Raw genomic sequence first — 22478 nt, forward strand, 5'->3', positions numbered from 1 at the left:
TGATTATGTTTTCTATTGCTATCTGTTCAATCTGTGTTTCAGGCAGTGTACAGGTACTGAGGCAACAATGGTGAGTAAAAGCAAGCATGCATCCTGAGATATACTGGGAATGAAAGAAGCTAATCCAAAAGCATACAGGAAAATATTTTCAAACTTTGATAAATTCTGTGTAAGCATATGGCATTGCACGTAACAGGGGAACCGCATTTAATATGGAGTGTTGGAAAAGGCTTCTGTGAGAAGTGACACTTGAGCTAAGACTAGAAAAGTGAAAAGAATATAACCAGGTACTGGACAGCATCATGAGTGCAGGCACAGGTGACATCGTATCACAAGCTTCTAAGGCTGAAGGGGGCGTGAATTGCTAGCTGGAGAGTGGAAGGAAAAGATCTTCAAGATAAAGCTGGAAAAATAAACAGGGCCAGGCCTCATAGGTTTCTGTAGACCATGGAAAGAGGTGAAGGTTATTTTGAGCCTGGATGACATGATAAAACTCACATTGTAAAAATATAACTGCAAGGTAGAGAATGGATTGAAGAGGTCCAAGATTACGCAGACAGAGCTATGAACAGCCTATTGCAATGGTCTGGGTCAAGCATGATGGAGTAGGGTTGGAATAGGGTGGTGAACTTTTATTAGTTATCTTCCTTACTGAGCACACTTTGCAATGAATTTCAAATGCACTGGGACCAGACTTGTTAATTTTGGAGCTGTCGACTAACAAATAAGTAAGCCATGATAACCCACCAAAGAAAGTTGCAGAAATGCAAGAGCAAGGCTGTGATGAATGGTTGAGGTACAAGGAAGCTCTTACTCACTCATTTTAAAAAATCAGATGATATGAAGTTGAATATTCAAGATATTGCCCAATTGTGTTATGTTCACATATTTTACTGGGCATAGTTCTGGATAATAAAATATTTATCTTCTCTCCCTCTGAGAATTAAAAATCTGAGATGGAGGCCTCTGATGTGCCAAAGGAGAAAGATGATTTTTAAGAGCCAAACGTGCCTCCATGATTAAATACATTTATATTTCTACTGGCCAAGGAAAGCATGTTGCCTCTTGCCTGGGCCTCTTCTGTCTTTGATTAATAATCCCCTGCACATTCGAACACTGTTATTAACTTGCCACATTGGCACCTTTATCACTTTGTTCTTTGAATAAAAAGAGCTTAACCCAAGTCCCAGTAAAAATGTTCATTCAGGCTGAATTTAAGAAATATATTCTGCTCCCTTGGAGTTAAATGGAATAATAGGAGAAGAGTCCACTTGACTGTTACCAGGTTTCTGAACTACACCTGGCAGCCTAACATAGTCAACAGCAGGGAGTGAATCACATCTGCTCTGTATGCTAACCCGGTCTGAGTAGGTGGTTTGCATTGGCATCTAATTATTTTTATGGTTAGTACTCTCTTCTCCTGACTTTTGGTACCAAACCCTCACACACCTCATTATCCCTATTGCATCTGCCACTCATCCTAAAAGGCCTTGCTTACATCCCACAATCAATCATTCTTTCTCTTACCTTAGCGGAGAACAGCCTGAGGTGCAGCAGGTCCCAGATATGATTACAGTTTCACCAGTTCAATATTGTTTACTGAATGGCCTGTAAAACACAGTGAATATAATTTGTGTTGCTGCAGTTGGAAGGCTTACATACCACATTGCCTAGAACCAAAGACCTTTCCTCATGCCCAATACACCAATGGCAGAGATGACCAGCCAGTCACTGCATCGAGATGAAGAATAGTATCTCCCAAAAGGCAATACCAAGCATATGTTTCTCAGGCTTTTACAAAACACTTTTTAAGTTTCTGTCTAAACTCCTCTAAGAGCTAAATTTTTCCAAGACGTATTCTGTGTAAATCAGTCTTCAGTGATAAACAAAATTTTATTTATTGAACTATCAGGTGCTATTAATGCTAATTAGAATGTTACCACCTCAGATTAATGCTTCGTTGAATTTCTTTTTTTTCTGGTGTTTGTAAGTATTCCTTTTCTCCTTCAGCACAATGATAATTATAAAGAAGAAAATGTACTAAGTGCATTTCTCCCATCATTTGATATTTTACATTTATTTCCTCAGCAAATAATTTGTCACAAGGAAGTAATGTGCATCCCTGGGCACTGCTTGCAGGCACTTAATTCTTGATTCAAATGAAACTTTAAAATGTTTTATCCATGATGTTATGTCTAAAGAAACATGTCAAAGAAACATGTCAGAGAACTTGACTTTGAATAGAAATCATGGCTGTGCTTTGAGGGAAACAAAATAAATCACAGAGGTAGGAATGCATAGTTACAAGCTACTGTTTGTACACAGCAGAGACCAATTCTACTCTCTGTTCTCATTTCCTCTTCTAATTCCTCATCCCTACACTCCTTCCTGTGTGAAGCCCATGTCTGATCCTGCCTAATTCAGTGACTGGGGGTCACTGCAGATGCGTGCACAGGGTCCTGTTATGGGATCCGGATTCTGCCGCCTTCTCCAGACACAAGTTTCCCCTCATACCTGTTGTTCCAGCAAATCCAAGCTATTCTCCTTTCCCCACTTGCACTAGGTTCTTTCCCTAGTCTGTGCTTGCATGCATCCTATTTTTCTCTGGTATTTTTCAAATTTTACTTTGGCACCTGGAGAACGTTTTGGCACCACCATTTGTCAGGTGTTTAACTTTGTGCATTTCCTCGTGTGAATGGGAGCGTAGGTCCAGCATCGTGAGGAAGGACTGGGGTCACACTCACAGAGTGTGTCAGAGCCCACAAAGTCACTCAGTAGAAACATCAGGAGATGTTAGCGTTATTTTTCAGTTATTACTATGATCACCATTCCTCAAAATTGAGCTCTGGTTTTACCTCTCCTGAGAAGCTTTCCTTTACTTCCCCATCCCAAAGACAGAGTGAATTACTTCCTTGTACTGTGTGCTTAGTTCTTCATTGCCCTTCTTATGTGTTTTCCTTATCATTAATGTGGGACATGATCTGTTATAATGTTGCTGGGCAATGATGTTGTTAGTATAGAAAAATGGGCATGAGGATAGTTCAAGGAGTTCCCATAACTCATATTTTATGGGCCTTCTGCAATATATGGTTAGGATACAACCATTAGCAATAAATGGATAACTTGGGTTCTCTTCATTTTCTGTGTTTTATTGCTACATGAATAAACAGTTATTGAGTGCTTACTGTATGTCAAGCATGACAATAAGTATTATAATTACCCTGTTTATTCATCAGTATGATCAAATGTGGTTATTATTCCCATGTGACCCATGAGGAAACTAAAGGCCTAAGGTGATAGAGCTAGTGATAGACCACCTACTCCCAAAGTCTGAGCTCTTAGCTCAAGAACACTCTGCTCTGATCTGTAGGGTCTCATTTGTCTCTGAGACTCTTTAATGTGTAAATATATTTGATAAGTTTTCTCTTCTAATGTAATTCCAGGTATTCCTTCCAAGATGAGGAAGACATGTTCATGGTGGTGGACCTCCTGCTGGGTGGAGACCTGCGTTATCACCTGCAACAGAACGTCCACTTCAAGGAAGAAACAGTGAAGCTCTTCATCTGTGAGCTGGTCATGGCCCTGGACTACCTGCAGAACCAGCGCATCATTCACAGGTCAGTCAAGTCCAAGGAGATGGCCATGAACGTAACGCAAGGAGAGAATCCACAACTGGCTACCTTCAATAAATTCTTATTGAACATGACATTTAATCCCCGTTTAATTCTTGAAACAGTACCCTGAGGTAGGTTGATTGTCTTCATTTTGCAGATTTTGTAAAAGACTGAACACATAGAGCTTAATTTGCCAAAGGTCACAGTAAACAACAAGATCACAATCAATGAATTTTGGTACTATTTTATAACTAAGCTTAGACAAAAAGGAGAAAAGGTGACATATAGAAACCTAATAAATATTAAGTAAATAATTAAATGGAGGTAGCACATGGAGGGAAAGAAATAGAATGAAAAGAAAGAAAGTTCTTTGGGAAAAAAGCTTGAGTCTTTCTAATATTTGCTGTCCTGCAGTCTATATTAAATTAATCCCTAATGTATGTACTGCAAATGGAGGTAGAAAAAGCAATAGCAATGTCTTCTGCATTTAGAGCATTAGTAGTAAATAAAGACATACAAATAACATAAGAAACCATAAAGCTATAGAGATAATACAGAGAAAAGGATAATACTTTATAGTAAAGAAATTTGTAGTTTCAATGATGATTTTATATATAGTATCTCATTTGATCTCTGAAATAACCTGAGATAAATGATCAGAGCAGATATAATTAGACTAGAATTACATATGAAAAAATCATGGCTTGTATACATTAAATTATCACCCAGTTTACTTATATGAATTGTAAACATATCAAACATCAAAACATCTACTAATCAACATCAAAACAACTAGTGTTTACTGGTTGATGACTTACTATGTGCCAGGCACTCCTAGGTACTTTATGTACATTAGTTTATTAAATCCTCAAAACTCAGCAAAGATTCCACATTTCATTATAATATTCCCATTACACAGATAAAGAAACTGTCTCAAAGGTTTGCCAAGGACAAACAGCTAACAAATAGCGTAGCCAGGATTTAAACCTAGATCTCTCTGACCTCAAAGTCAGAATTCTATGATACCAATTCACATTACTTACACATATGAAATATATGCATTAATTGATTATACATCATTAAATGAAAAATCAGTACATGTGACTCTGCTGCTGTCATCTCTAATCCTTGAAGAATTTGCTGAGATTTTAAGTACAATTATGTCTCAATTAGTAAAAAGTTGGCTAGATAAAATATTTGACCACCACCAGTTGACATTGACCTGTAATTTATTTTTTAAACCTTTATATATATATATATATATTAGAGAGATGGGGTTTCACCATGTTGCCCAGTCTGGTCTCCAACTTTTGGCCTCAAGTTGTCCTCCTGCCTCAGCCTCCCAAAATTCTGGGATTACAGGAGTGAGCCACTGTACTCAGCCTATAATTTATCTTGATGAGTACAGAGCCTATAGATGAAGGTGAAGCATCAGAATTTATAGATTCTCTGTGCAGGTACCACAGGCCAGTTCTTTTATTTATTTTTATTTTTTTGGGCCTTGGCCCTCTACATTTAGTTTTTATTTAATGTTCCTTCTTTGGAAGGGCCTGCTTGTATTGGAAGTGTGCTCTTCAGGCACCAGATAAATGAAAGCAGACCAGTTAATTACGTAGGATCTCAGAAGTGAATTTGCACACCTGGTGTTTTTTTCAATAACTAGAAATCCTGTTCTCAAGCACTCATCTTCCCATACTGGTTTTCTGGTCCCTCATAGCTCTTTCTGAAGAGAGACTGTTCATACTTGTTAGTCTATGGAGTCCCTCTCAAAACTTTCCTGCTCGTTCATTCTCCCAAAAATTGCCAACCACAGCCTATCTTGGTTGTGACATCACAGATATCAGAAAGAAGGCAGTGACCTTGAGAAACCAGCATGGCCTCAGAGCCTTTTCACTCTCTCTCCTTTTCCTGTTTGAAATTGGGTTCTGTCCCTTCTTTCTTTAGGCTTCATGTTCTTGGTCATCAAAAGACCAATTCTCTGAGCATTTTCTCCATGTACTTAGAACTGTGTTCCAAGAGGAATTCAGGAGGGAAAAACAACAACAAAAATATTGATACAATTTTTCCCCAAGGAGCTTACTAACACCCAATACTGTTTTTCTGTTCTTTCCCTCTCTTTTTTTCTCACCGTTATCATCATTTTGCCACTTAAATCATAAACCAAGGATTAACTTTCTGGTTTTTTGCCCTTCAATCACATCCACAGTTATTACTTAGTGCCCGTTCTCAGAAGGGCCTTTTTGTACTGAAATGTCTCCTCACCATGGTAAAGGTATGGAAGGCAAACAGGATGACATTTTGAGTGCAGTGTTAAATTGAGGTGACATCCTTCTGGTGTCAAAAACTATTCAGGTGCATTTCTGTAACCTCTATGCACCTCTCCCCCCACCTCCCAGGTGTTATATTTTACAGGCTGTCATACCCTTTTGTACCTCTCCTGAGGAGTTGTGACATTTGGTGTATAATTAATTCATTTGTCTCCTTTATAAAATTGTGAACTCTGCATGTTTTGCTTTTCATTGTATAACCAGTATGTGAAAAAAATATGAGCCACATGAATGAATGATTGACCAGAAGTTCAGGCTTACAAGTAGGAAATATTCAAATATAGGACATTAAATCCAAAGGCCTCAGACCTACTTGTACCTTGGTCTTTACATTAATCATGTTATTTATCATCCAAACCAGGATACTCTGAGAGCTAAAGAGGATGCTATTAATATTAATAGCACTGGGAAGAGTCAAAAGCCATAAATAATCTAGGCAATTCAGGACCTATGTCAACATCATTAAGGCTTTTCAAGGCAGTGTTTTTTGGTTTTTTATTTTTTGTAGAGACAGGGTCTCCCTATGTTGCCTAGGCTGGCCTTGAACTCCTGGGCTCAAGCAATCCTCCTGCCTCAGCCTCCCAAAACTCTGGGATTACAGGTGTGAGTCACCATGCCCAGCTTCAAATAGACATTTTAATTCTGACAGTGTTCTGATAACCAGGATTTTCTGCTCTCAGAATACCAGATATCAATTTGAAATGGTGTCAAATAGCTTTTTAAAAAGTGTACATGGTAAAAGAAGCAGTGATCCCTTTGTTTAAGGAATTTAAATGATAATAACTTTGTCAATCTGAGACTAAGAACTCCTGGGCCAGAGAGTGCAAAAAGCAATACAGAAGAGATACAGGCTTCTGAATACTGTAATTCTTTTTTAAACCTCCTTCTTCAAAAGAATCAGCCCGATTCATGTTGTACTTGAATTCAAGATAACAAAACACCTTTTAGTTACTTAGAAAGATTAGATTGTAAAATATGTGCTGAGTTCCTAGAAATTAAAAGTGAGAATGAAAAAAAGAATCAATGAAAGTACAGTAGATCTCCCGGACAAGGAGAGACCATCTGCATAAAACTGAAGATATAAAATATGTGACTTCCTACTTTTAGATTAAAATCTACATTTTGCCTTTGGACATGGTAGAAGATTCAAAATTACCCGTAAACAGTCAGCACTACGTGGAAGTAGGAGCAGCAGTAGGCTGCTGTTTGCTTAGGGTTTCCTGGGTACCAGGCTGCCTGCTAAGCACTTGTGAGTTATTTCACTCAGTCTTCCCATAGCTCCAGGAGGTTTATGGCACTTTGTCCCCATTTCACCTTCGATGAAACTCTGGTTCTGAAAAATTACTTGCCCAAGTTTGCATGGCTATTAAGTAGGGAAAGCATCATGTTTAGGAAATGCAGAGCTCTTCACCACTCTCCAGCCTGCAGATGCTCAGCATGGCTGCAGCTCTGAGGGGAGCACGGGACACCTATGCATGGCCACCTGCCTCAGGCACCCACAGACGAAAGTGGTACATGTGGAACGGACAGACAGAGAACAGCCTAAAATTGGAAGCTAAATTGTGTGAGAAAGACAAGTACTTCAGAGAAGATAGTGTGGAGTCGCAAAATAAGTTTCATGAGAGCTCATACAGAAAACAGCCTAAAACTAGAAGCTAAATTGTGTAAGAAAGACAAGTACTTCAGAGAAGTTGGTTGGGAGTAAGAAAGCAAGTCTCATGAGAGCTCTGAGGGTGTAAATGGGACTTTTAACAGCCAAAGCACACAGCAAGTCTAGCCTAGCAAGAGGAGCTCAATGGATGGAAGTCCTCACTTGTTTCCCTGTGTTAACATAGAAGGGGGTCTTTTTAAAATTTTGTTTTCACTTCAGCTTTTCTGCCAGAAATGTCTAGTGTAGTGATGTTTTAAAAAAAACCATAAGATCTGTTTCCGCCACAAATCCCCATTAAGACATAAATGGAGTTTTATTTTGTGGATGTTTAAAAATCCATGGACTTGAACTTTTGGTAGTTTCCCAAATATGTAGAATATTCAGCTAGTTTTCTTCAATTTCAGAATCTTTCTTTTCTATCGTTGTTAAAGACACAGGGTTGCATAATAACCATTAAGTTTGAATTGTGCAATTAGACAACTTTCTTATTAGTCAAGAAGTCAAACTTTTTGTGTGAGTACAGCTTGAAAATCAGCTTTAGTTTCCAAAGAATGGCCAGTTTGAAGTATAATATTCTCTTTTGCTTACTTGAAATCTGCAAATAAATGCTTTAAATTAGGGACAAAGTGATTATTTGCTTTTATTTAAAAAATAAGGGAAACAAAACTCATTACAATCTCTTCTACAGGGTTAGTACTATTCTATTTGTTGATTGCCTCAGCCTCTCCAATGAACAATCTGGTGGAAAGTAATTATTTAATATTATAATCCAAAGACAAATTTCTGTTTACTCCCTTGTCAGATCTTAAAGTAGACTCAATTATGAATTTAAGCTAATGAGATGGATTGTATGGGACAATTAAATAGTAAGTCATTTTGGGTCAAAATACCATTTGAGAGGATGGTTGATTGTTTTTTCCCTCTGAGAATTACCCCCCACTATAACGAGGTTATAACTCACTGTTTGCTAAATTTTTATAGGAATGAGATAAAAAATCTGATTAGAGTAATTTGTGCAAGTAATTACAGTACAACAGAGAGAGTTGCAAAAATTTCATTTCCCATTGAGTACCGAAATGTTGAAGAGAAATAAAAGAAGATTTATGGCTGTGTAGAAAAACACAGGATGGTATTTTTATTTATCACCTTTGCCTTCTTTGCTGTTCTCATTGGAACCAATAACTGATTCCAGATTCATCTTAGGGACTGTATAAGATGCAGATAGAAATTATTTCTCACACATGACCTCTTGGGCTGGAGTAGCTGCTTATGAGATGTTCCTATCATTCTTCTAGAAATCAGTACCTTGACAGTGAAGAAAAAAATCTTAGGAATAATGCTTCTAGTCCAAATATTTATTCAAAAATTATTTACTGGGTACCTATTTGCCAGTGTTCTGAATGCCAGGCTCCCATGGGGAAGAAGACAATCCCCCTGTCATAAGAAGTTGTTAATATTATAGTGTGAAAAATAGTCAAGTAAACACTTCAACATTAATATCAAAAGGCTTTTAAATGTTGTGGCATGTGCCATAAAGAATGAAAGCTGTTATGTGCATATCCTGAGCGATGCATGTGTGCCTGCATGCACGTGCACGCACGCACACACACACACAATATGCTTAGTTGCGTCTTCCCAATGCTCATGGTTATACCTCTAATTGTAGCCTCTGGACCATGATATTCTATATAAAAAGCTGTCTCCCCTCTCCAATCTTAAGCCCTCATAAGTGGATACTACACCTCACTTATGTTTTAATCTCCAGCAACTTGCACTGGATCTAAACTAGAGTGCTTGCTGGATAATTCAATGACTGAACAAATGAATGAGGACAGTATGTATATGTAACCATTGGGTGAGTGCAGAAGGTAAAAGTTGCTGTGGAGGATGTCGTCTTCAGCAAATTCTCAAATTTATTCCACACATTCCTCTGTGCATCCACAACATGTGGGGTTCTGGTCTGCCTTTCCACTATGCTGGATTAGTTTTGTATGCTGTGTAACAAATTCCTACAGTCCCAGTGACCAGAAAGAACATACCTTTATCAGCTCGCAGTTTCTTTGGGACAGGTGTCTGGGCACAGTCTAGTTGAGTTCTCGGCACAGCTGCCATTAAGATGTCAGCCAGAACTGGGTTCTCTTCTGGAGGCTGAACTGGGCAAGAATCCACTTCCAAGCTCAGTCAGAATGTTGGCAGGAGGTATTTCCTTGTGGCTGTAGGACCCATGGTGGCTACTTTCTTTAAATTTAACAAGGAGAAGAATACCGTAGAGTAAGTTGGCTAGAAAGAAAACAGAGTACACATACTTGAATGATGATATATAACATTGTAACATAACTCAGTCACAGAAGTAAGACCATCACATCTGCCATGTAATGTCGGTTAGAAACAAACCATGGAACCAGCCCATGCTGAGGGGCTGGAAATTATGCAAGGGTGTGAACACCAAAAGCTGGGAATCCTGGGGGTCACCGTACACAGTCTGTTCACATTTCCTCTAAAGAAGTTGCACTGCATCACAGTTCCATACCAATTTCTGCTATGACCTTAAATATAGCCCTGAACTTCCCTGTCAAGGAAGAAGTGAGGAGGTTTCAACAAGTGATCAGTAATGATTCTTTTATGTCTAAGATTCTAGGATGATTTCCTCTCTGCCCTGGTAGGCTGCTCTTCAAAGTATGACCTCCTCATTGTTTCTCTGCTCTACCACACACTCATTCCCCTCCAAGAAGGCTGCCCACCTGTAATGACCTGTCTACAGAGCCTGTGATAGTGACTTGTGATAAATGGCTATTAGCACATTTACCAATCAAGGTCCTGTTTGCAATTCGGTTGTGGGTCAAAATTATGTTTGTTTTAACTGAGGTCTTTAGTTTATTTCAGGCAGAGATCTGGGCTGGAGTGTCACCTTTGTGTCTAATTCTCACACACTGTACTATCTTAGCAGTCACATTTTATTTTCTTGAGATGATAATTTATAGGAAAAAATAAGACATTTCTGCAGCTAATCATTTTAGTCAATGATCATTGAGTGACAGGTGAGCTCCTAATAAATAAATTTGCCAACACAGTGACACCTCAGGTTTCTGAAGCCTGTGGGAATGAGTCATCTGGAAAGATGTTTTTCTAATTCCTGGAAGTATTTCAGAGATTTTTAACTATTTAATTTATACTACAAAGCACCTATGTCACTTTTTTAATGACTTAATAGGAGCTATCACTTATTGTTTACACCAAGAACTGCGTACTGTGCTAATTGGCAGGTTCCACACACCACCTAACTTGATAATCAACAATTCTCTGAGGGGATTAAGCAACTTGCCAATATACAGTCAGTATATGGGGACCAGATTCAAATGTAGAATTACCTTCTTCAAAGGCCCTGTTCTAGGTATAGACGCTCTTACTTTCACTCTTATAATAATAAGATATCCTCAAGGTCAGATGAGCTGTTCAGTGCTGTTTACCAAATAGCATAAAACTTCAGTTTAGATACATATTTTAGTGGGTAGGTACTATATGTTAATTTGTGCTCCCTCAGAAAGATTTGTTGAAGTCCTAACCTCCAGTGCCTCAGACTGTCATCTTTTTTGGAAAGAGGGTTTTTACCCAGATAATCAAGTTAGAATGAGGCCATTAGTGTAGGCCCTAATCCAGTATGACTGGTGTCCTTATGAAAAGAGGAACTTTGGACACAGAGGAACATACAAAGAGTGAAGATGATGTGGATGTAGAGAGACACAGGGAGGATGACAGGTGAAGATGGGGGATTGATGTGATGGGTCCACCAGCCAAGGAATGCCAGAGATTGCCAGCAAACCCACAGAAGCTGGAAGAGGCCTGGGAGGAGTCTCCCTGAGAAGTTTCAGAGGGAGCATGGGCCCTGCTGGCATCTTGATTTTGGACTTTCTACCTTCAGAACTGTGAGAAAATTAATTTCTGTGTTCTTCAAGCCACTGTTTGTGGTACTTTGTGACAGCAGCTCTAACAAATGAATGTAGTAAATATGTTTCTATTGTTTTCTTTGCTGCTAATTTTTTAATCTTTGCTTCTCTAGTAGGTGCTACTCAGAGCACCTTCTGTCCTCACTCCTAACATGCTGCTTACAATACATTATGGGATAGAAGACCAAGTGACAAAACTTGTTTGTATTGTTTGTAAAATTAAACTAAACCAAGAGAATATTCAGTAAGTCAAGTCCATTGGCTTTAGTATAGGGTAACCTATTTTAATGTTGCCAGAGACTGTCTTTGCTTACTTTTGTATTTCAGGTTTGGGAAGATATTTTCAGTATCTGTAGGCTTTTTTTTTTTTTATACCACTTCTCCTGTCCAAGGTGTGTTGTTTTGCTTTTATATATCTATTAGGAAAGTTAAATCTTTTCCATTTTACCAAAGCTACATGTCCAGTATGAGAACATTTAAAGTCTAAAAATTATCTGATTACTTATATTGTATGTGTTCTGCTTGATGCTGGCTTTCTTTCAGTGTATTGATAAAAGTTTCTATTTGTTGCAGTGGAATAATAGACTTTGGTTTTAGGCTATCATCTGTGGAGTGCTTAAGAAAATGCCCTTTCTTTTTGTTTTGGTAAATCTTCTTTTCAGTAGACCACAAGCCCTTGCAAATGTTCTCTTTTTCTAACTCTGGTAGCAGAAGGACCACTTGAGCCTCAAAACAAAACGGCAGTGCAGTAATGAGGGTATTAGGTTGATGTGTTCTATTCAGCACCTGCTCCCGAGCTACCGAATAATGAATGAGCATGAATTACACATTGTGAAAACAGGAGAATCTGCCTTCTTTGTGTTGTATGCATCAAGCAGTTTCAAAAGGGCTTTGCAATTGTGTTTCTCACACAAAGCCACCCATTTGTGAAAACCCATGTGAAAAGGCAAAGAGAACTGTCTGTGTACAGGTTAACATTTAACTAGACTGGCAGAGCTTTTAATAATTTCTATAAGGTTAATGGCTTCGTTAATATGCAACCTGTGATTTGGTCCAAGTTAAATTTTACTTTGCCCAGAATACATTATAATATAAAGCTTAAGCTTTATTCTTTCAGGTTTAGTCATTTAACACATAATATTGATCAATTATGCATGTTGGACACAGAGCTCTGAATAGAGCTTTGAAATATAAAACTATGGTTTTAGTCCTCTTAGAGCTATGATGTTTGGTAGGTTAGGTGAAGTAGACACATTTTTGACTTATAAATTTTCAGCTTACAATGGGTTTATCAGGGCGTAACCCATTGCAAGTTGGGAGCATCTGTACGATGGTATAGATATATATAATGCATATAGTTTTATATCCTTTTAAGACAAAATATGAAGATATTTTATTTGCTCAAATCTTGTTACACAGTTTTCCACTGTGATATTCACATGCTGACAGAGAGGCTATTTGCATGGTGTTTGTCACCAGCAATGAACAGCAGCATTTGAGTTATGTAGTGGCTCTGCCAGTTACCAGTGGGGCAACTTGGGCAAGACACTAAGCACCTCTGAACCTCATTTGTTTTATCAGTAAAATGAAGATAGCTATACATACTTCACAGGCTGTGGTGATGATATATTCTAATGAATATACAGTCTTAAATAAAAACATTCAATAAATTCTAGCTACTCATTTATATTAATTTATTATACCCATTTGCTTTGAGTTATCTTCTTTGCAATAAGCTGTGGGAAAAACTTACTGTTCCTTCTCATACTCCAGGATACATCATCACCCAAATCATTACACATTCTTATATAACGCAAACATTAAGAAAGAACAATAATCTTACTAAAAAGCAGAGTGTGGTATGGTAGAGAGATTAAGAGGCTTTGGAATAGTTACATCAGGGATCAATTAGTGAGCTGTGTGACTTTAGGCAAATTAATAAACTGAATTTCTTTAAATTTTGTTAAATAGGTATAATAACATTATATATAAGAAAGCAGGAAAAATATGAACAGCTCCTATTATAATGCTTGCAAAATCAGGAGTGCTTAATAAATGGAAGCCACACTGCGATTTTCCAGATAATTGTGAAACAACTACGGGCCATTACAAAACCATAGGAAATTAGAAGTGAGGAGTAATTTGGAGACTGACAAGCTCTACCTTCATCTAAAGGCAGAATTTCTTCTGCAGTCTCCCTAACAAGGAATCGTTATACCTCAGGGATGGGATAGTCACTACCACATAAAGTAGTTCATTTTCAGACATGCATAACCTTAGAAAGTTCTTCTCTTGATTTACAATTAGCCTCATAGTTCTGTTGCTGCCTATTGGAGTTTTACTACGTGTACAGTCAGGCAGGGCTTCCATTCAGTCACCACCCATTAGTACTGTTGTACTAGTAATTTATGGATGGCGTCCATTCTTACTGGTCCATGTCCCATTCTGATTTGTGTTTGTGCCATTTTTAAGTGTTTTGAATATTAACCCTGGTATCAGATAAACATGGAGTCCTGACTTTTTCCATAATCATGAATAACAGTGGAATAGTTACATCAGATTTGTGTGCCACTGTGGTCCCATCTATGAAATAGGGATAATAATTGTACCTAGTTCATAAGGTTGTTTGAGGATAGTGTGGAATAAAGTATAAAAAGGGCTTAGCCTGGTTTCTCAAATATTGCAATAAATGAAACTTAGCATCATGATGCTGTCACAATGGTTCAATGATAATTGAAAACATCGATTCATCATTTAGCATCCTCAGCTTATCAGTTTCTCACTATCTAGCTCTTCTTACACTGGACACTTCCTAATTATTCTTTCAATGTTTTCTGGAAGTTAGTTGAATAATTACTGTGCACCAGATACTACACAGTAGTCCCCCTTGATGCATGAGGGATACATTCAAGACCCCCAGTGGATACCTGAATACGCAGATATTTCCAAACCCATATATACTATGTTTTTTCCCTTTTGTACATACCTATGGTAAAGTTTGATTCATAGAGTAAGAGATTAACAATAACTAATAATAGAACAATTATAACAATATGCAGAGTAAAAGTATGTGAATGCAGTCCCTCTCTCAAAGCATCTGATTGTACCGTACTTACCTATTTTTGAACCACAGTTGACTGTGGGTAAAAAGGAAAACTGCAGATAAGGGGGGATTACTATACTACGAGTTTTACATGTACCATTTAACTAAATCATTACGACTCTATAAAGTAGATATGATTATTGTCCTCAGTTACAAATGTGGAGGGCTGAGTCTCAGAACGTTCTATTACCGACATGGTTTTGGTCCCAACAGAAAACCTCATAATGGTTTAAACAATAAAAGAGATTTATTATCTTATAAAATCAGAAAATCCAGATGTGTGCTGGACTTGGAGGGTATCTTGATTCAACAATTCAGCAGTATCACCAACTAGCTGGTTTCTTTCACTCTCTTCTCTCTTTTCCATGTGGCCACTTCATCCTCAGCTTGTTCCTCCATGTGATTGCAAGAAAGCTGCCTGCTGCCCAGGGCTCCATGCTAAATTCTTTAAATCTAAAGAATCACACTCCTTCTCAAAACTTTCCCCAGGACAGCAAGGAAGCTTTTTCCTCAGAAGCCCAGAACATAATTCTTTCTGATACTCAGTGGCTTAAATTGGGTCACCAGCCCATCCCTGAACCAATAACAGGGCCTGTGGGATGGGATAACTCCTACTTAGGCCTGACTCACATAATCCTTCCCTACAGTCAGGGTGGAGTAGGTTTCCCAAAGCACACAAAATACAGTGTGTGTGTGTATGTGTGTGTGTGTGCGCGCGTGCATGCGTGCGCGTGTGTGCGCGCATGTGTGCATGAATGTGTGTGTTACAGAGAAGTGAAAATACCCAGTTGAAAACTGAAATGATGATTAAGAGAATGAAGAATGCGTATTAGAAAGGCAATCAAAATGACCATTAGTAAGCTGCACAGTCGAGATCTGAGCCTTGGTCATTTGACTACAGAATTAATACTCTTAAACCTCCACTATCTACTGCTTCCCAAATCAACCTAGAAATCCCTGGGGTTGGATAGGACCATTTGTGTTTGAGACTATTACCAACATTACTAAGTACTATACTAATATACTCATGCAACCTAAAGCATATATATGTGAAGTGTGTATATGTACCCATATATATACATACACACTCATATACTACACACAGTATAGCCTATACAGGGCTCATGTTTAATCAGCATACACTGGTCTGGCCCTATCAGTTGTATTTCAGTGTATTGGCTGATGAAGAGGTCATGCCTAAGCTTTGCTGCTACTCCAGCCCCTTTTCCAATCTCCCCCTCATCCCCCACCCCTTCCCTCCCTTGACCCAGCAACTGAAGTGCTAACTCCTGGCCCAGGAGAGGTCCTTCAGGGCACTGCTCCTGGGCTTCCATCAGCATCCCTTCTGATGAAAGGATGACTGTGCTGTTCTGGTTGTTAAATATTTTGTCCATCACCTCTGGCTATTTGTAAATATATATACTTACATGGAATACTATATATGCCCACTATATTTCAGTAAACTTTACTATGCTAAGCTCTAGAGAGTTTAGATCATTTGTCCAAGATTACATAATGAGTGACTGGGATTACAACCAAAGATTGTGAAGTACAATCTTAGGAGGATGATACCTAGTCTTTAATCATCTAACCCTGACAGCCTTTCACTTCTGCCCCCTATTCCAAACTGTTTTTCCTTATAATTTTCCCTCACTCGCTCTTAACATGGGTCTGTTTTTTGAGACCAATAGCCCATCTGTGACACCCTAAATAATATGTTACAGAATTATATGTATAATATTTTTCCCCTCTCCAGAACTTGGCGATGGCCCAATCTGAGAGACTGTTATGTGGCAAATAATTAAATACAAACTATGGACCATCAAAAGGCCATGGGACACTGAAGGAGTTGATTTTGGTTTCGATATACCGATTTCCTTGTTTGCTATTTTCATGTACATGTACCGGTATAGGATTGCAGGGTGAGCAACTTGACTCCAGGGGAGGCGCAATGAAGGGATGTAATTAGCCTGTTAACCCTGCTAATGTCTTGTAAAGTCATTCAAGTGAGAAGAGTAGATACATCAATTCTTCCTTGGATCCTGCCACAAGGAGCATTGTATTTCCACTCTGCTATTTATAGTTCTCACAGCTGGAATCAGCTGGTTCAGCAGGACATGGCTCTTTTTTATTTAATCAAACCAAGATGCAATGAAGAATTTCCAAAGTATGCATCCTAGAATTTCCCTTTATCACCCCCAAAATTCCATAGTCCCTCTGAAATCATAGGCTCGTAACAGGCATAAATCACTTCTTATTTATTACTCTTACTCTAATACATACACATACACTTACTGGAAAGTCAAGTTTCTTAGTTGGCCAATGGTAAATGTGGCGCATCTGGCACACAGGGTTTGTTTGGGTTGTTTTGGGGGTGGGGATTGGTTGTTTTGCTTTGTTTTGTTTTCTCTTCTCTTCTTAGGGGAAAAAGACATGCAGGGCTTAGTATTCCAACAATTTGAGAAACCAGGGGGCTGGGATTCATTCATTTTTATGACAAATAGTTACTCGAGCACCTACTTTATTCTTGGGTACTTTTATGAGTCCAGGGGCTGCTGCATTGAACAATACAGAAAAGAAGTCCTTTCACTTAGAACTTACGTCCTAGTGGGGGTTGGGGGTTGGGGGTTGAGAGAATGAAGCATTCTTACAAAGAATGTTAAAAGCGAACTATGGGCAGGAATTGAGGATATGAGTTTTGATGTATAAAGAAAAAGTGACAAGGTCAATAATTGGTGGTCTTAGTGTGATAGATATGCCAGTTTGGAAATTGTATTGAATAAATGCTAGTCAGGGGCTAGGCTGTAGTTATGAAAAGGAGATGATTAAGGAAGTGAGAATAAGGAAACTATTGGTGTGGGACGGATGAAAAGATTATTGGAGGCAAGTCAAGGAACTGAGAGGCCAGGGTGTTAGATGGAGCATTCATGTAGACACTGAAGTCACCAAGAATAATAAATAACAAGTAAGAGGGAATTCATCATTAGCTATCTGCTTATGATATGGATGTGTTTTTGCTGTGTCCCCATCCAAATCTCATCTTGAATTGTAGTTCCCATAATCTCCATTTGTCATAGGAAGAATGCAGTAGGAGTTAATTGAGTCATGGGGGTGGGTTTTTCCAATGCTGTTCTTGTGATAGTGGGTGAGTCTCATGAGATATGATGGTTTTATAAAGGGCAATTCCCCTGCACATGGTCTCTTGCCTGCCTCCACGTAAGAGGTGCCTTTGCTTCTCCATCACCTTCTGCCATGATTGTGAGGGCTCCCCAGCCATGTGGAACTGTGAGTCTGTTAAACCTCTTTTTCTTTATAAATTACCCAGTCTTGGGTATGTCTTTATTAGCAGTGTGAGAATAGACTAATAAAGCCAATTGGTATGAGGAGTGGGGCACTGCTGTAAAGATACCCAAAAATGTGGAAGCAACTTTGGAACTGGGTAACAGGCAGGGGTTGGAACAGTTTGGAGGGCTCAGAAGAAGATAGGAAAATGTGGGAAAGTGTGGAACTTCCTAGAGACTTGTTGAATGGCTTTGACCAAAATGCTGATAGTGATATGAATGAAAAAGTCCAGGCTGAGGTGGCCTCATGTGGAGATAAGGAACTTACCAGGAACTAGAGCAAAAGTGATTCCTGCTGTGCTTTAGCAAAGAGACTGGTGACATTTTTCCCCTGCCATAGAGATCTGTGTAACTTTGAACTTGAGAGAGATAATTTAGGGTATCTGGTGGAAGAAATTTCTAAACAGCAAAGCATTCAAGAGGTGACGTGGGTGCTCTTAAAAACATTAAGTTTTATTCATTCACAAAGATATGGTTTGGAATTAGAACTCATGTTTTAAAGAAAAGCAGGGAATAAAAGTTCAGAAAATTTATAGCCTGATGATGGAATAGAAAAGAAAAACCTATTTTCTGAGGAGAAATTCAAACTGGCTGCGGAAATTTGCATCAGTAATGAGGAGCAAAATGTTAATGGCCAAGACGATGGGGAAAATGTCTCCAGGGCATGTCAGAGGTAGCCCCTCCTATCACAAGCCCTGATTCCTGGGAGGAAAAATGGTTTCATGGGCTGGGCCCAGGGCCTTGCTGCTTTCGTAGTCTCAGGACTTGCTGCCCTGCATCCCAGCTGTTTCTAAAGGGGCCAACATACAGTTCAGACCATTGCTTCAGAGGGTGTAAGCAGCAAGCCTTGGTGGCTTACGCATGGTGTTGGGCCTGTGGATGCACAGAAGTCAAGAATTGAGGTTTGGGAACCTCTGCCTGGATTTCAGAGGATGTATGGAAATGCCTAGATGTCCCGACAGAGTTGTGCTACATGGGCAGAGCCCTTATGGAGAACCTCTGCTAGGGCAGCGTGGAAGGGAAATATGGGGTGGGAACCCACACACAGAGTTCCCACTAGGGCACCACCTAGTGGAGCTGTGAGAAGAAGGTCACCATCTTCCAGACACCAGAATGGTAGCTCCACCAACAGTTTGCACCATGTGCCTGGAAAAGCTGCAGACATACAATGCCAGCCAATGAACGCAGCCAGGAAGGGGGCTGCACCCTGGAAAGCCACAGAGGTGGAGCTGCCCAAGGTTGTGGGAGCCCACATGTTACATCAGCGTGACCTGGATGTGAGACATGGAGTCAAAGATTATTTTGGAGCTTTAAGATTATACTGCCCTGCTGGATTTCAGACTTGCATGAGGCCTGTAGCCACTTTGTTTTGGCCAATTCCTCTTATTTGGAATGAGTGTATTTACCCACTGCCTGTAACCCCATTGTATCTAAGAAGTAACTAACTTACTTTTGATTTTACAGGCTCATAGGCAGAAGGGACTTGCCTTGTCTTAGATGAGACATTGGACTGTGGACTTTTGAGTTATTGCTGAAATGAGTTAAGACTTTGGGGAATTCCCAGAACTGAGGGTTCCTCCCCATTGTAGACCATATAGGTAGCTTCCAGACGTTGCCAAGGCATTTGTAAACTGTCATGGTGCTAGTGAGAGTGTCTTTTAGCATGCTCATGTATTATAATTAGTGTATAATGAGCAGTGAGGATGACCAGAGATCACTTTTGTCACCATCTTGGTTTTGGCCAGCTTCTTCACTGCATCTTATTTCTATCAGTGGGGTCTTTGTGACCTGTACCTTGCAAAAACAGTCCTGCTGATTACTAAATTCCTATCTCACCTATTCAAGATGGAGTCACTCTGGTCTGAATGCCCCTGATAAGAGAATCCACAGTGTTCAATTCTCCCCAGTTGATTCTGAAGCATATCCAGGTTTATTAGCCACTAAGTAAAAATATATTATAGACTACTGTCAATGAAAGAAACATTTTGTAAGTTATTTCATATTTATTTTTACTTGAGAAGACTGAAAAGGTAAAGAAGTGATGCTAAAATTTAGAACTAGAAAATCTCAACTTGCTCTAGTAGGAATTTTAATAGAGCACACTAAGTTTCTTTTCATTTTCTCTCTCCTGGTATGTGAATAAACAACCTTCCATACTGCAATTTACCCTGTAGTGAATTAGATGTTACCCTATTATATTTTGGAGAAACTATATAGTTAGAATCTAAGCTTAGATAACTTATTTTTATGTTTACAAATCCACTTTCTCTTATACATTTTTCTTAAATTTTTCTCATATTCTTTCTCTGAATTTGTGGTAAAAATACCCCTTTCCCATTCTATGTCATGGTTCTTTACGAAGCTTTCTCATCCTCTCCATCCCGAGGGAACTATGTCTCATTTATCTTTAGGTTTTCTGTATCTTACTACAGTGACTTACCAGAGTAGGTAAATATCTGATGAATAAATGAATACAAGATTTAATTAAGAAGTAATCACATTAAACTAATTGTTCCCTCTCTGATCTCTGTAATATTAAGTTTCAAAGTAGTTTCTGGGAAAAGTAGTTAACACAATGATGTATGGATTCAATAAATAAGAAAAATGGTGCTCAGGGATTTAACAGAAAGCTCATAAAATGTCAAATCCACAGCAATTAATTTCTCCCAGTAAGTCCTCATAAATTCAGGCCAAGAAATTTGATACTGATCTTGCCTCTCTCAACTCTCATCCATCTTTGGTAGGGCTCCTCTGGGCCTCTTTTTCACCTGGCAAACAGTACCTGATACTCATTGGATGCAGATCTGAAAGAGGTGGAAAGAGCCCGACACCTGGTTTATCTCTAGCTTTATGGTGCAGAGAGTATTTGATGGTGTGCACAGTGCTCTGTATATACTGTTAGGATCAGCCTTCTTGAGTGCACTGGAATTTCTCTGGGTGTCATTAAGTTCTTCATTTACTGACCATGAGGCACTGGGATAGAATATGATATTAATCAAGAAACCATCCCTGACATCATGATCCACTTGGAAAACTTGCAGAAATTAGAAAAATTTTTTGAGTAGGCATTTTGCTTTGTTGCCCAGGCTGGAGTGCAATGGCTAGTCAGGGCACAGTTGTGCAATGCAGCCTCAAACTCCTGGGCTCAGGTGATATCCCTCTTCCACCTCCTGAGTGGCTGGGACTATAAGTACACACCACTGTGCCTGGCAAGAATTTTTTTTTTTAGGATGTTATAAGGCCTATAGTTATTTAATTATTAATCCTGGGGTAGTTAGTGAAAAGATTTGGACCAGTCTTTTACACACTGATGTACAGCAAGATAACTATAGTTAGTAACATTGTATTATATACCAGAAATTTGCTATATCAAAGTATCATGTTGGCCACTTCAAACACACAATTTTTGGTTTAAAATGACTAAAAAAATTAAAATAGCAAAGTAAAAAAAATTCACAGGAGAGCACAAAACCCACCTTCTTCCAATGAAGGGAGTAGTCTGGTGGTTAATACTTGGAGGATAGAATGATAGAGTTTGCAAAGCCTTGGTGAATATTATAGTAAGGAACACTCCTGAATCAAAAAATCGCATTGTACTTTATAACAGCCCTCACTTTTCCACTCTCAGATTTTTACTGCCTTTCCCTAATGTACCATTAAAGCCCTTCAGCCTAAATTCATAGACTCCATTAGAGAAGAAATTCTGAAACAGGTTTTGGGAACACATTCTCAGCCTAGTCAAATAGCTTTCATGCTGCTAGAATAAAAATACCTTAATCTTTGACAGACCAAGTCTGTCAGCTTACTCTTTACTTAAAAATATTAATGAGTAACAAGTCCCATATCCATAAACAGAACCAAGTGTGTGATAAACTGTGATAAATGTTATGGTGGAAGAAGTATCCCATGTGGTCAGAATATATGGGATTAGGGGGGATTTGACCCAGAAATGAAAAATCAGGAAGGCTTCCTGCAGGAAATGGCATCTGAGCTGTGGGGTTAAGGGTGAATCTGTGTTGTCTGAGTGCACTGGTGAGAGGACTCTAATTTAGGCAAAGCAACAGCAGGTGTGGATGTGAGGAGGCAAAAGGAGACAGGGGGTGGTTATATAACTACATTATCAACCATATTTTTCCCATTTATAGTCTTTAAGCTCACATCATCTGTGCAATTCTAGAGTTACACAAGAAAATGATGCTTAATACTACTAACATTACTTTATGGCAATGTAAATGCTTTATATGATCCAATGGACCAATATCTACATGCTTAGATACAACATGCTATAGGAAGTTTAGAGTCTGAGTTTTTGAATGAGAGAGGCCTTGGTTCAGAGCCCATTTCTTCCATTTACTAGCCTGTGACCTTGGGTTAAGCTTCAGTTTTCTGATTTAAAAATTGGGGATTTTCTGTCTCATAAATTTACTGTGAGAATTGAATGAGAAGATGAGTATTGAGAAGCTAGTACACTGTTTCAACTCCAGTTAGCTTTCTTAAG

At 38.8% G+C, this 22478-nt stretch overlaps 1 protein-coding gene across 8 annotated transcripts in view; it reads left to right on the top strand.

The window, feature by feature from the left end:
- The window catches only part of STK32A (serine/threonine kinase 32A), a 166965-nt gene that overhangs the window by 85429 nt on the left and 59058 nt on the right, over window positions 1–22478 (top strand). For all 8 annotated transcript variants that reach the window (XM_011537577.3, NM_001112724.2, NM_001287740.2 and 5 more), the window contains one exon: window positions 3444–3617. In XM_011537577.3, coding sequence (XP_011535879.1) covers window positions 3444–3617 — 174 coding nt within the window. The remainder of the gene's footprint in view (window positions 1–3443; window positions 3618–22478) is intronic.

The sequence above is a fragment of the Homo sapiens genome, chromosome 5, assembly GCF_000001405.40.
Source record: "Homo sapiens chromosome 5, GRCh38.p14 Primary Assembly".
Classification (NCBI taxonomy): domain Eukaryota; kingdom Metazoa; phylum Chordata; class Mammalia; order Primates; family Hominidae; genus Homo; species Homo sapiens.